Source organism: Homo sapiens, chromosome 9, assembly GCF_000001405.40.
Source record: "Homo sapiens chromosome 9, GRCh38.p14 Primary Assembly".
NCBI lineage: Eukaryota > Metazoa > Chordata > Mammalia > Primates > Hominidae > Homo > Homo sapiens.
Window position 1 is genome coordinate 124,941,684 of NC_000009.12, and position 12,277 is coordinate 124,953,960.

Below are 12,277 nucleotides of genomic sequence, written 5' to 3' on the forward strand. Positions count from 1 at the left end.
CGTTCTTACTATGTAATGCACTTAAAAACGCTGGTGGCAGCTCACTATATTGGATTAGCTTCACCATCCGCTGCTGGGCCGTCTCCTTTCTGCTTAGGAAGGAAGTTGAAAACATCAAAAGTGCACGGCGCGCGCTTCTGTGGTCCCAGCTACTCGGAAGACCGAGGTGGGAGGATCTCTTGAGACCAGGGCTTCCAGACCAGCCTGGGCACCGTGGCGAGACTCCGTCTCTTTAAATAAATAGCAATCATGCAGGCAGTAGGAAAATAAACAAAAGAGGAAAAACTATCTTGTTCCAAGTCACAGTCCAGGCCGGGCGCGGTGGCTCACTCCTGTAATCCCCACACTTTGAGAAGCCGAGGCGGGTGGTTCACCCGAGGTCAGGAGTTCAGACCAGCCTAACATAGCGAAACCTCGTCTCTACTAAAAATACAAAATTAGCCGGGCATGGTGGCCCATGCCTGTAATCCCAATTACTTGGGAGGCTGAGGCAGGATAATCGCTTGAACCCGGGAGGTGTAGGTTGCAGTGAGTCAAGATCGCGCCATTGCACTCCAGCCTGGGCAACAAGAGCGAAACTCTATCTCAAACAAAAAGTCACGGTCCAAATCAGTACCCTAAGTCAGGTCCCTGAACTCGTCAATGCCAAGCCAGCCATTCCACCTTAAGGAACTCTGGTTCCATCCCCAGACTCAACACAAGCCCAAGAATAAGCAGATTCCACCCAATTCTTCAACAGTCCCTTCCCTCGCGTGTTCCAGTTCTGACCTGCAGGAGCAGGGCAGGGAAAAAACCAAAACCAGGATTCAAACATTGACAAACTAACAAGAAGCATCAACCCCAAGATAGTTCAAAGCCTCTGAGATATTTGAATGAAGCAAACCCTAACAGTTCAGCTGTCAATACCGAAAAAGTACCAAAAACTTTAAGCAAATAATGTTTATTTTTATATTGATGATACACTTAATATATATGTGGATTCAAGGTACAAAATTCATGTACAAGAGTTCACACCTGATGAATGTAGACACATTCCTAGAGAACATTTATCAATGTGAAAATTTCTTTAATACACTGACAACAAAAATCAAATATTCTCTAATCTCGTTATTCAATAAACATCAAAACAACGTTTCAGTTTTCATCCTCTAGTACTGAAGTGCCCTCAAGGTGGTAGGCACTGTATAGCAGGAGAAAACATTGGAAAGCCTACTGAATCCGCTCTGCAGAATCACAGTGTTTACTCTGAAATTCATTTAGTGAAGTAGTGGAAGGCTATCTTTTATGACAAATCACATCTCATACAAGAGTCAAAAGTGATGAACTCAAGAAAATAAAATGTTTCAAGAACTTCTCAATTTCTAAAATCTATGGAGTATTAACCATAACAGACAAAGAAGAAAAAGGCTGCTGGAAAGGAAGAAAAAAACATCCTGTTTAAGAGAACGTATGGCTTAAGCAATTTAGAACACAACTGACAAGACTTTTACAATACCACAAATGTTCAAGTCAAATGATAGTGACAGTATAATTTTCCCCTTAGTCATTGGTAGTAAATAGCCCCTTCAAAATTTATTCTACTGTTAACACATATAAAAACTATGAATCCAAACAGTTTTGCTAACGGGGCTGAGTTGATGGATTTTTTTCTAAAGTATTAACTCACAATATCCAAATATTAATACAAATGAACGACAAGATTGTTTCAAAGATTACAGTGATTTGTGAATAGCTAAATAGGCAACCAAATAGCTTCATTATTTGCACGACAGATTAGCAGCACTTGGATAAGAATTGTTACATGAAAAATATTGTGCTTCAGTCTCTTGAGGAGAGCTAATATAACTCTATAATCCCTATAGTGTTAAAATTCTATAACATTTCAGTTACAGACAAGCACAATTGTTAAAAAGTATTTCACACCACTAGAAAATCGAGTAATTATATCCTCCAAATGAATTACTTCTATGATTTAAACAAGTGCATTTCTGCCTAATAATCAGAATGTAGACAATAAGTTCAGCATTATTTTCAAGGGAAAAAGATCAAACATAACTTATTTTAACTCCTATTTGATTATCTTAACCTTTAGTGATGATTAGAACTTAAAAAAGGGAAACTCAACCTTCCAATGGAAACTGCTCAGAGGAAATAATAAAGTGTCCTGAAATTACAATAATTCTTAGCACAAAGTAAAAAGTGATTTATAACTGCTTCATCTGATTCAATGATTAATGAAATCACTATTTATACTGGTGCTACACAACGAAGATAACCTATATGGATAAGTTATTTTACTTGTAAACTCTACTATGAAAATGTTAGGACTTTGTATTTGCCTTTCCTATTATCTAAGATGTTTCTACCTCAACTGGAAGAATCATCCAAAATCTAAAGGTTTCTCTGATTGTTGAACAGCAAGGTTTATTAAAAATAAGCAAAAAAGTTGGAGAACTAGCCATATGGTCTATGTGGCAAAAGGAATGCATTCAGATAACTATAAAAAGCCACATAAATCAAGTTCTAGATTATTGTACTGAACCATTAGAAGGTCTTTTTAATGATACAGTAACAAGTTAACAAAAACCATTCTTCAGGAAATAGTAATAAAAATTCCTTTTTTTTTTTTTTTTGAGAATGAGTCTTGCTCTGTCACCCAGACTGGAGTGCAATGGCACGATCTCGGCTCACTGCAACCTCCGCCTCCCAGGTTACAAGCAGTTCTCCTGCCTCAGCCTCCCAAGTAGCTGGGATTACAGGCGCACACCACCATGCCTGGCTAATTTTTTTTTTTTTTTTTTTTTTTTTGTATTTTAGTAGCGACAGGGTTTCACTGTATTGCCCAGACTGGTCTCCAACTCCTGAGTAATAAAAATTCTTATTGTGCTAAAACACTAAGCAATTTTTCCTGCAGATTTTTAATTTACCACAGTACATAGTTTTAATTTAGAAAAAAAGCAATTAGTAGCATGCTTCTTTAAGGGTGGAAATAAGCTTTTTAAAAATACAGTGGTTATCCCTCTATGGTTTGGAAGTATTTACTTTTGGGATTCTCATGTATGATCATTTCAAATTTTATACTTATTCATACTGATTTCATGTTTGAGAAAATTTATGGTTCAAATTGTAATGTTTACAAATCTCAACTTTTAATCATGGCAAAGTGGACATTCACAACAGCTTCAGAAGAGAAAAGAAAATCAGTGATATAACAAACATTTAAGTATCATTTACGGCAGCCCTATAAGAAGGCTAGCCATAATTCCCTATTTCATTCTGAAAGTGATATCCTATTAGCTTTCATTCCATAAGCCTAGGAGAAAAGTATAAAACCTAAAATTACCTATGTCTTAAACAATATTACACCTAAAAAGATGATTGTCGTAGTAGACAGACTGGAATTGTCCACCAAAATAGGAAATTGATACCCAATTTATAGTCTATGATGAAATTTAGGCTTGAATAAGTGAGTTTGTAGTTTTAATATAATGTACTTCAAACTATTAAAAAAACTGAGTCTATTGTCCAAGTATGTTTAAACATGGCACTGGTTAAAGTAGTCTGATAACTATTAAAAAGAATTTTTTTTAGGCCGGCCACAGTGGCTCACACCTGTAATCCCAGCACTTTGGGAGGCCGAGGCGGGTGGATCACTTGAGGTCAGGAGTTCGAGACCAACCTGGCCAACATGGTGAAACCCCATCTCTACTAAAAATACAAAATTAGCTGGTCGTGGTGGCACACGCCTGTAATCCCAGCTACTTGGGAGGCTGAGGCAGGAGAATCTCTTGAACCCAGGAGGCGGAGGTTGCAGTGAGCTGAGATCGCGCCATTGCATTCCAGCCTGGGCAACGAGCAAAACTCCATCTCAAAAAAAAAAAAATTATTAATTTTTAAAACCACAAAAGAAATTAACAAAAATATTTTAAAATTAAGAATGGTGCTTCAATCAGTTATTAAATTAGTTATACTTAATACAGTTCTCTTTATCCAATTAAAGGCATATCACCCTACATCATCCTGACACCCTTCCCGTCAATAGGTGATTGATTCCATTCACACATCAATTATTTTTCCTTAAACACAAGGCATGCTTAAGTCTTTTTGTTCAAAACTCAGTGAAGCTGGAACATAGTGTAGTATTAGGCTTTGAAATTCTAGTTTGAGGAAGATGAATCACTTTTTTTTTTAAGTGGTCCCATTATCCAGGAAAGACTGAGAGGTACAGCAAAAATAGTTGTAAAGTATCAATGTATAAGAGCGCAGGAGACTGGGGGAAAGGGCTGGGTTTTCTAAGCAAGTGTTACCTTATTCACCCTCAAAGTTATTGGCTTTACAACGGTTGGGGTCAGAGGTCACATTCACAATGTCAAGTGTTTTCTACTGTACTTTTGATTACCACTACTGTCCTCAAATTAATATCCACAAGGAGCCTGAGTCAGTTCCATGAATTTTAAATGGTATAATATCTGCTCTACTACTCTCCAGTGCAAAAACAATGATTTGGTTATTCAAACAACAAACCATCAGATCCTATGGATGTTTTCACTGATTTTTCAGAAATAATAAATTACCAAATTTTAATATTTATTCAAGAAAAATGCTGTTATAATTATTTCTGAATTTAATACTATAATTGAAAAGTCTTATGAATAGTTGGCTGTTTTATTTAAAATATAATGAATCAGCAAATGTAACATTTTTTTGGGTGGTAAAACAGACTCCTGAGATAATTTCTCTATTTTAAGATAATATTGGATCAGATAGATTTAATCTTCCAAAGAATACGGTGTAAAAAGTTGCTTTGCAGTTATATTTTATCATGCAAAAATAACCTCTACTTAATTTCTGCAGTGAATGTATTTAAGTGTATATTAAACATCTCCTACACTCTTTCATGCAAATAAATATGTCAACTGAAGTAACCAAACATTGATACTTGGCAACATTCTATAGGTTCACAAATTGGCATTGCACGTATTTACTATCCTCTTATCCTCCCCAACCCTATCATCCTTGGGAGAGGTTTGAAGGCCCAGATTTTTATAGCACACCATGCATCTAATATTAAAAACTCTACTTCATGTGCGAATATATCATCAACTTGCAGAACACAAGTGGTCTCATAGAGACACAGCAATACGAGTGAAGGCATTTTATTCAGTGGAAGCATTTTCTCAGATGAGCCTACTCACCTTTGATATGCAAGTCCAGTAAGAAAAAATCTGTAGCCGGAAATGCCAAGACAGGACTAAATTAATCATAGCTGCTGCAAATATACAAATTAACAACCTCCCGTTCCTCACTAAATCCTATCCTACTTAGGTTAGGCCATCCCTTAGCTAATGCCCCCTTTTCTGCCTCATAGAGACACATAAAACACTGATGAAAAAAGAATTGTTCCAAAATCAAAATTCAGTATGAGGCATAAAAATGACAACTGGGAATATATTTCCCCTATTTAATGGACATTTTCCTATGTTTTTAAATGTGATTAAAGCAATTTTTTTCCACAGCCTCTCTATTAAGCCCCAATATACATAATTTACTACTCAGTAATAATACTTAAATATGGATCAAGAAAATAAAGGACTACTACAGCCTAAGAATCTGCTGGTGTCTCAGTTTCACATACTTAGGTTTTTCAGGTTATATCACTAATTTATCATCAGTTTAAATAAAAATTTGCAGGTGATTTTAAAGCTAAGAATAAATATCTAGCTTTCTGTTAAGATCTTCATATCCTAATTTCAACTCCAAATTAGCCCATTTTATCCAAACACAAGCCTCTCAAAATAGAGGCTTATGAATGAGATACAGCCACAACCTAATTACAGCAGCATGAACAATGCCACTAGGATGTCCTCACAGAACTTAAATAAATTCAGCCCACAATGGGTATGGGTACATAATATACACATACTGTATCACTGCATACCAATATATTTACAAATATGTATACATATATACAAAAAGTATACACAGAGATTGCATGTAGCATCACAAAAATATACATATGCCATTACAAATAAAATAAGAATTTCAAATAAATAAGGTCAACAAAAGAGCCCTCAAGGTAAATACCCTCTATGATTTCCAAACACACACAGGAACATATACACCCAAAACATCACCAGGAGACTCATAGCATTCATATTCATATCAAATCTTTTACTCAGGGTGGGGAGGTGGTTTTGAATCACTGGCAATGGCCAAATTAGCAGACCTTGGTACCTGACTATATTTCCAGTCCAGAGTGTTCTCTGTATATCAGGCTGATTACAAGTCTCCATAAATAAAATTTTTCAGCTGGGTCCAAACTGCTTCTCAGAGACAGAAAGTTACTATATCACACATGTCAGAGATTAAACTTGGAGGAGAGTGCTAAAGAAAGCTCCATAATACCTAATACATAAATCCGATTTGTCGCTTTTCCCATTATCCTGACTAAATCAGTATAATTACGACATAATCTGTTTCAGGGAATTCTATTGCACAAAGGAAATAAAGGGCAGTAGCCAGAAGTTGGAGGGGAGGGAACCACCCGGATCCTCTATCAGGAAAACTCCAGCCACAATTGGATTGCACTTTGCTTCTGAAATCCTGAAACGTTTCAATTTGGTAAAAATAAAGAGGGTACAATAAATTCTGTGCTTTGAAAGGTTTGAGAGCACCACTTTCTAAGAGAAACACACACATGCAAATGAAGAATACATCCTGGCTAGAATAAAAGATAAAATGTCAGATTTGTGGATTTTTACAATAAAAATTTGATACTGTTTTGTGCCAAAATACAAATCCCTAATTATTCTTTCTTGTTCATTATAGAAAGCAGTCTGAGCTACTGAGAAGACTGGGCTGAGATGAGGAGATCTGAGTTTTAGTTCTAGCTCTATCACTATGAATAGCTTTTTGGGTCTCAGCTTTCTCTTCTGTAAAATAGAGAAGATAGTTGCTTTACCAACTTCAGAAATATACAGATAAAGAAAGAGAAAATTCCACTGTGCTTCATTTTGTTTTGTGTATAACTGACTTCTTGCAGTCTTATGCTTTCTATGTTGTTTACAGTGATAGTTAAGAGAGATGAGAGACTATCAGAATCTCCAGGGACAGTTTGTGCAATTTGAAAACAAAGGAGTGCTTTTTCCCTTTGCTTTGCTCTGTTCTTAGTTCCAATATTTAAATTTTTATGAATTATAAAATTAAATACATTAGGGTTTAAATTTTTTTATAAAGGGCAGGTGGTATGCATTTTTAAAAAATGAAATTCTTTGCCACTATCATCAGCTCAAGCCCATTGGGCAACTGTCCTTTTAGATAATTCTTCTCCCTTGATTAAAGAAATACAGAAGCTGGGTAAGGTACAAGGAGGATTTATTAAACTGTATGTTTAGGCTGGGCGTGGTGGCTCATGCCTGTAATCCCAGCACTTTGGGAGGCCGAGGCCAACGGATCACCTCAAATCAGGAGTTCGAGACCAGCCTGACCAACATGGTGAAACCCCATCTCAAAACACAAAATTAGCTGGGTGTGGTGGCACATGCCTGTAATCCCAGCTACTGGGGAGGCTGAGGCAGGAGAATCACTTGAAACTGGAAGGTGGAGGTTGCAGTGAGCTGAGATCCTGCCACCACACTGCAGCCTGAGTAACAAGAGTGAAACTCCGTCTCAAAAACAAAAAACAAAAAAACTATGTTTAAAACTTTCATAAAAAGAAAGAAAAGGCAAAGTGTTCATGCAAATGTGACCTTCCTAATGAAGCCTACCCTGATCATCACTTTTTCTTTTCTTTTTTTCCAGAGACGAGGTCTTGCTTTGCCATCCAGGCTGGAGTGCAGTGGTGCAATCACAGCTCACTGCAGCCACAAACTCCTGGGCTCAAGTGACCCTCCCACCTCGGCCTCCCAGGTAGCTGGGACTAATAGGGTCATGCCACCATGCCCTGCTTGATCACTCTTTTAAACATTGTTCTTCTCTTAAGAAAACAAACAAAAGATTTACCTTACCATAATCTACACTTTTCCATCCTACTTAACATTTTCTAACATAAATTACTTATGTTTATTGCCTTACTCCTTCTACTAGAATGTAAGCTTCATGAACATGAGGATTTTTAAGTCTATTTTGTTTGCTTCCCCAATGCCCAGAAGAAAATCTGGAGTATAGTCTTTGTTTAATACGCATTTTTTTGAAGGCATCAATGAAACAATAACATTTTCCAGCACAGTTTTCCTCTCTTTGAAGATTCAAGATCACTTCAGTCCACTTTAGATTTTTAACTACCAGTAAGGAATTACACTATTAGCTTAAGGGGCAACATCATAAGGGTCAATGTTGTGATTTCTAAGACCCTCATTTTTAGACAAGCATGTTTCTAATCATAAAAGCTCTAATTTCCTCAGGAGAGTCTCTGTCTGTACTAGTTTCTAAAACAGCTAAGTGGGACCCAGATTTTCTTGAACAAAATCTAGGTAAATATGACTTACAAAAGAAAAGGTTGTGTACACTACAAACAGGGTAAATAGTTCTCTTGGTGGTTGGAGTGGGGAAATCAATATTTTTGGAACCAAGAGTCCAAATTACAGAATCAGAGTTGGAGAAGACCTGGGCCAACCTCTTCATTTTACAGATGAGAGTGCTAACAAGCAGAGACATGAAGACAGTTGTCAAAGGGCATAACGCTTAAGTTACCAGGAAAGCCAGGACTAGAACTTAGGTCTCCTAGTTCTCAGACCAGTGTTCTTTATGCTTAACGGGGGAGGATAAAGCTCAGAACAGTAAATACTATTTTAAACATTAGAGGACAGGAAACTCTGTGTTGGTAGGAGCATAACTGGCACAGGACTTAAGGGGAATTGAAACAAGAGGTCAGAAAACCGAAGATAGTCTATTGCTGTAGTTCAATGAACACTGTTACTAAAGGAAAGCTATGAAGTTTATTAAGATACTGAAAAAAAAGGAAAGCAGTCTTTACCTGAAAATGAAAACCCACTAGCAAAGGAAATCTTTCCAGGGTAACTTTTCCCAAGCTTTCTGAAATACTGTTTGAAAGAACAAACAAAAAAATTTTTAAAAAGTAAACAGGCCAGGTACAGTGGCTCACACCTGTAATCCTAGCACTTTGGGAGGTTGAGGCAGGAGGATCACTTGAGCCCAGGAGTTTGAGGCCAGCCTGCTCAACAAAGTGAGACCATGTCTCTACAAAAAATTAAAAAATAAAGAAAATTAGCCAGGCATGGTGGCGCATGCCTGTAGTCCCAGCTACTTGGGAGGCTGAGGTGAGAAGATTGCCTGAATCCAGGAATTTGAGGCTGCAGTGAGCCATGAATGTACCGCTGCACCCCAACCTGGGCAACAAAGCAAGACTCTGTCTCTTAAAAAAAAAAAAAAAAAAAAGTAAAATACTCCCCAAGTCCCCAAACCCCAAAAACAGTAACTTTGGACTTCAGGTTTGAAAAATCAGCAAATCAAAGCAGGAATGGGAATAACTTAGACCCAAATTAGTCTCTATGCCAGAAATGAAAACCAAGTTAAAAATAATAGCCAGGTGCGGTGGCTCACGCCTGTAATCCCAGCACTTTGGGAGGCTGAGGCAGGCAGATCACAAGGTCAGGAGTTTGAGACCAGCCTGACCAACATGGTGAAACCCCGTCTCTACTAAAAATACAAAAATTAGCCAGGCATGGTGGCGGGCACCTGTAATCCCAGCTACTCGGGAGGCTGAGGCAGGAAAATTGCTTGAACCTGGGAGGCGGAGGTTGCAGTGAGCCGAGATAGCCCCACTGCACTCCAACCTGGGCAACAAAAGCAAGACTCTGTTTCAAAAAAAATAAATAAATTTAGAGTATAATTTACCTAGGGCCATGGGAAAGAGATATCAAAAGCAATCAGCTCACTTCTCCTGGGACTGCCAGATGTGATCCTGTACAGAAAATTAGGTATAAGGCCTTCTCATTCATAGATTTCTGAAATTGAATGCTGCATAATCAAAAAGGAGGGAGGACTTCATAGCAAGTGACTGTGAAATTATAAAGGGAATGACAGGGAAGGAAAACACAAAAAAGAAAAATCTTTATAATATACACTGAGTCCTATTTAAGATAATAAAAATTTTGTGCATGAATATAAAATACTAAATACAGGGAATGTTAATAAATCTTATTTCCAAATTACCAATGCAAAATCAACTTACATTTTAGGTTTCATAACACCCAGTTACCCCTTACCAAAATTTAAAACATCTATGACTTTGAAGTCTCATAAATTTGAATGAGGCAAAAAATTAAAACTTTATGTCACAGACATCAATCCAGTCTTTAAATGTGATCTCATAAACCAAGAGTTTAAATAGAATTCCTATTGGAGACATTGTATTATGAAACCAATGACATGGTTTTTTGACTAAAATATTTCAAAGTTGTTTCCTTTTTCATTTCCAGCATTCACAGACTACAAAGAAAATATGCAAATAAATCTCATAATACTCATACATTCCAAGTAATATTACCACCTCAAGTCCTCAATCAAGATGTAGCTTTCAGATGCAATTCAATCCAATTTCTGAAATTATGACAGTATTGAAAGAAATTAAATGATTTCAAAAAACTGGCTTGATCATGTTTCAAAGGATCAAACATTTTTCTACCAGCTAAGTTGGAATGAGAAAAAATATATTATGGAGGGACTCTGTTCTTGATTTTCAGTAGTCCATGGTGGCTAGCTTCATCATTATGAACCATTACATATTTCCAAATCCAGACATTTAACTTAGGTCCAAGTATAAGAGTTGGATTTACCTCATTATACAAAAATAAATGATTTACTCTTCTCAGGGTGAGAATAGTGACTATTTGAGTGTAGGATTAGAAGTTGGAGGTAAATATCCATCCCTCAAAATCAAAAAATAAAAATTCCAAGGTTAAGATTTTAAAAGACCTGAAAGGTTGCATTTTAAAACAGTTACCCTAAAAGTGTGAACATTTTTTTGTTTGTTTTTAAAATGGTGGCCCTAAATTAAAAAATAAAAACTAAGTAACACCACTATGTGTCTTATCACGTTAGAAAACTGCACCATTTAAAATTTGTGGAAAATGAAAACTTGTTTCGACAACAGGGTTTTTGTTTTAATAGTCATCAATGGTATTCTCAAAGAACACGTTTCGAACATCCAGAATGGATGCTAATTCCAAAATGTGCTTCTGGAGATGAGGATTCTCCACTGTTTCATCCCTTGGCAGTTGTGGATATGATTCTGGATAATTTCGTGTTTCCTGGTAGGCAAAGAAGAGAAAAGTCAAGTTTTGTAGTCTAATGAAAGAAAATTATACACATTGATAACAGTGTCAAGGAGTAATATGTATTTTCACTTTTATACTGGAATGATTCTTATTAATATATTTGTTGAATATTGAATTGCTGATATTTAACCATTTTGACCTCTAAAAATGACAGTTTCAGATGAATCAATGTAATATATTCATTTAGTGAGTTATTCCACAAATGTTTACTGAGGCCTATTGTTGCTAGACACTATGCTCTGTATCACGTGGAAACCATATAATTCATGCTACTGGGGGGAAAATCCTAACACATATAGAATTTCAACAAGTATATGTTAAATAAATAAAAAGATATTGCTTTGGAAATTAAAATGAGGCTGGGGCAGCCGGGCACCATGGCTCACGCCTGTAATCCCAGCACTTTGGGAGGCCGAAGCGGGCAGATCATGAGGTCAGGAGTTTGAGACCAGCCTGGCCAACATGCTGAAACCCCATCTCTACTAAAATACAAAAATTAGCCGGGCATGGTGGTGGGCACCTGTAATCTCAGCTATTCAGGAGGCTGAGGCAGGAGAACTGCTTGAACCCGGGAGGCGGAGGTTGCAGTGAGTTGAGATCACGCCATTGCACTCCAGCCCAGGTGTTTCACCATGTTGGCCAGCCTGGTCTCGAACTCCTGAACTCAGGTGATCTGCCCGCCTCAGCCTCCCAAAGTGTTGGGATTACAGGCGTGAGCCACCGTGCCCGGCCTAGAAATTCTTCTTCATTTGGTAAGTTCTATAAACTATAATCCTGCCATACATTTAAAATTTCCTGAAGAAGTTGCTACTTTTCTGTACATTTCATGCAACAGTTCATACATACAAATGTTAACTTCTCTCTACCTATAGGACTCACTCACACATTACAAAAATAAATTTTTTTTTTTGAGATAAAATCTCACTGTGTTGCCCAGGCTGGCTTACTGCAGCCTTGCAATGAGCTCAAGCAATCCTCCC

At 37.2% G+C, this 12,277-nt stretch overlaps 2 protein-coding genes across 3 annotated transcripts in view, besides 1 other annotated feature; both read right to left on the bottom strand.

The window, feature by feature from the left end:
- GOLGA1 (golgin A1) overlaps positions 1–6,360 on the bottom strand; it is a 69,769-nt gene extending 63,409 nt beyond the window's left edge. Inside the window, exon 1 of the mRNA XM_047423242.1 lies at positions 10–6,360. The gene's annotated coding sequence lies outside the window, so the exon portion shown is untranslated. The remainder of the gene's footprint in view (positions 1–9) is intronic.
- The window catches only part of SCAI (suppressor of cancer cell invasion), a 200,921-nt gene continuing 189,568 nt past the window's right edge, over positions 925–12,277 (bottom strand). For both annotated transcript variants that reach the window (NM_001144877.3, NM_173690.5), the window contains one exon: positions 925–11,270. In NM_001144877.3, the coding sequence (NP_001138349.1) occupies positions 11,124–11,270 (147 nt within the window). In that variant the 3' untranslated portion in view covers positions 925–11,123. The remainder of the gene's footprint in view (positions 11,271–12,277) is intronic.
- Positions 8,701–8,750: an enhancer, noted in NCBI's record as "active region_28998". NCBI's record gives its function as "activates an Ori minimal core promoter by ATAC-STARR-seq in GM12878 lymphoblastoid cells {active_cell/tissue: GM12878}" and the evidence as "EXISTENCE:reporter gene assay evidence [ECO:0000049][PMID:35858748]".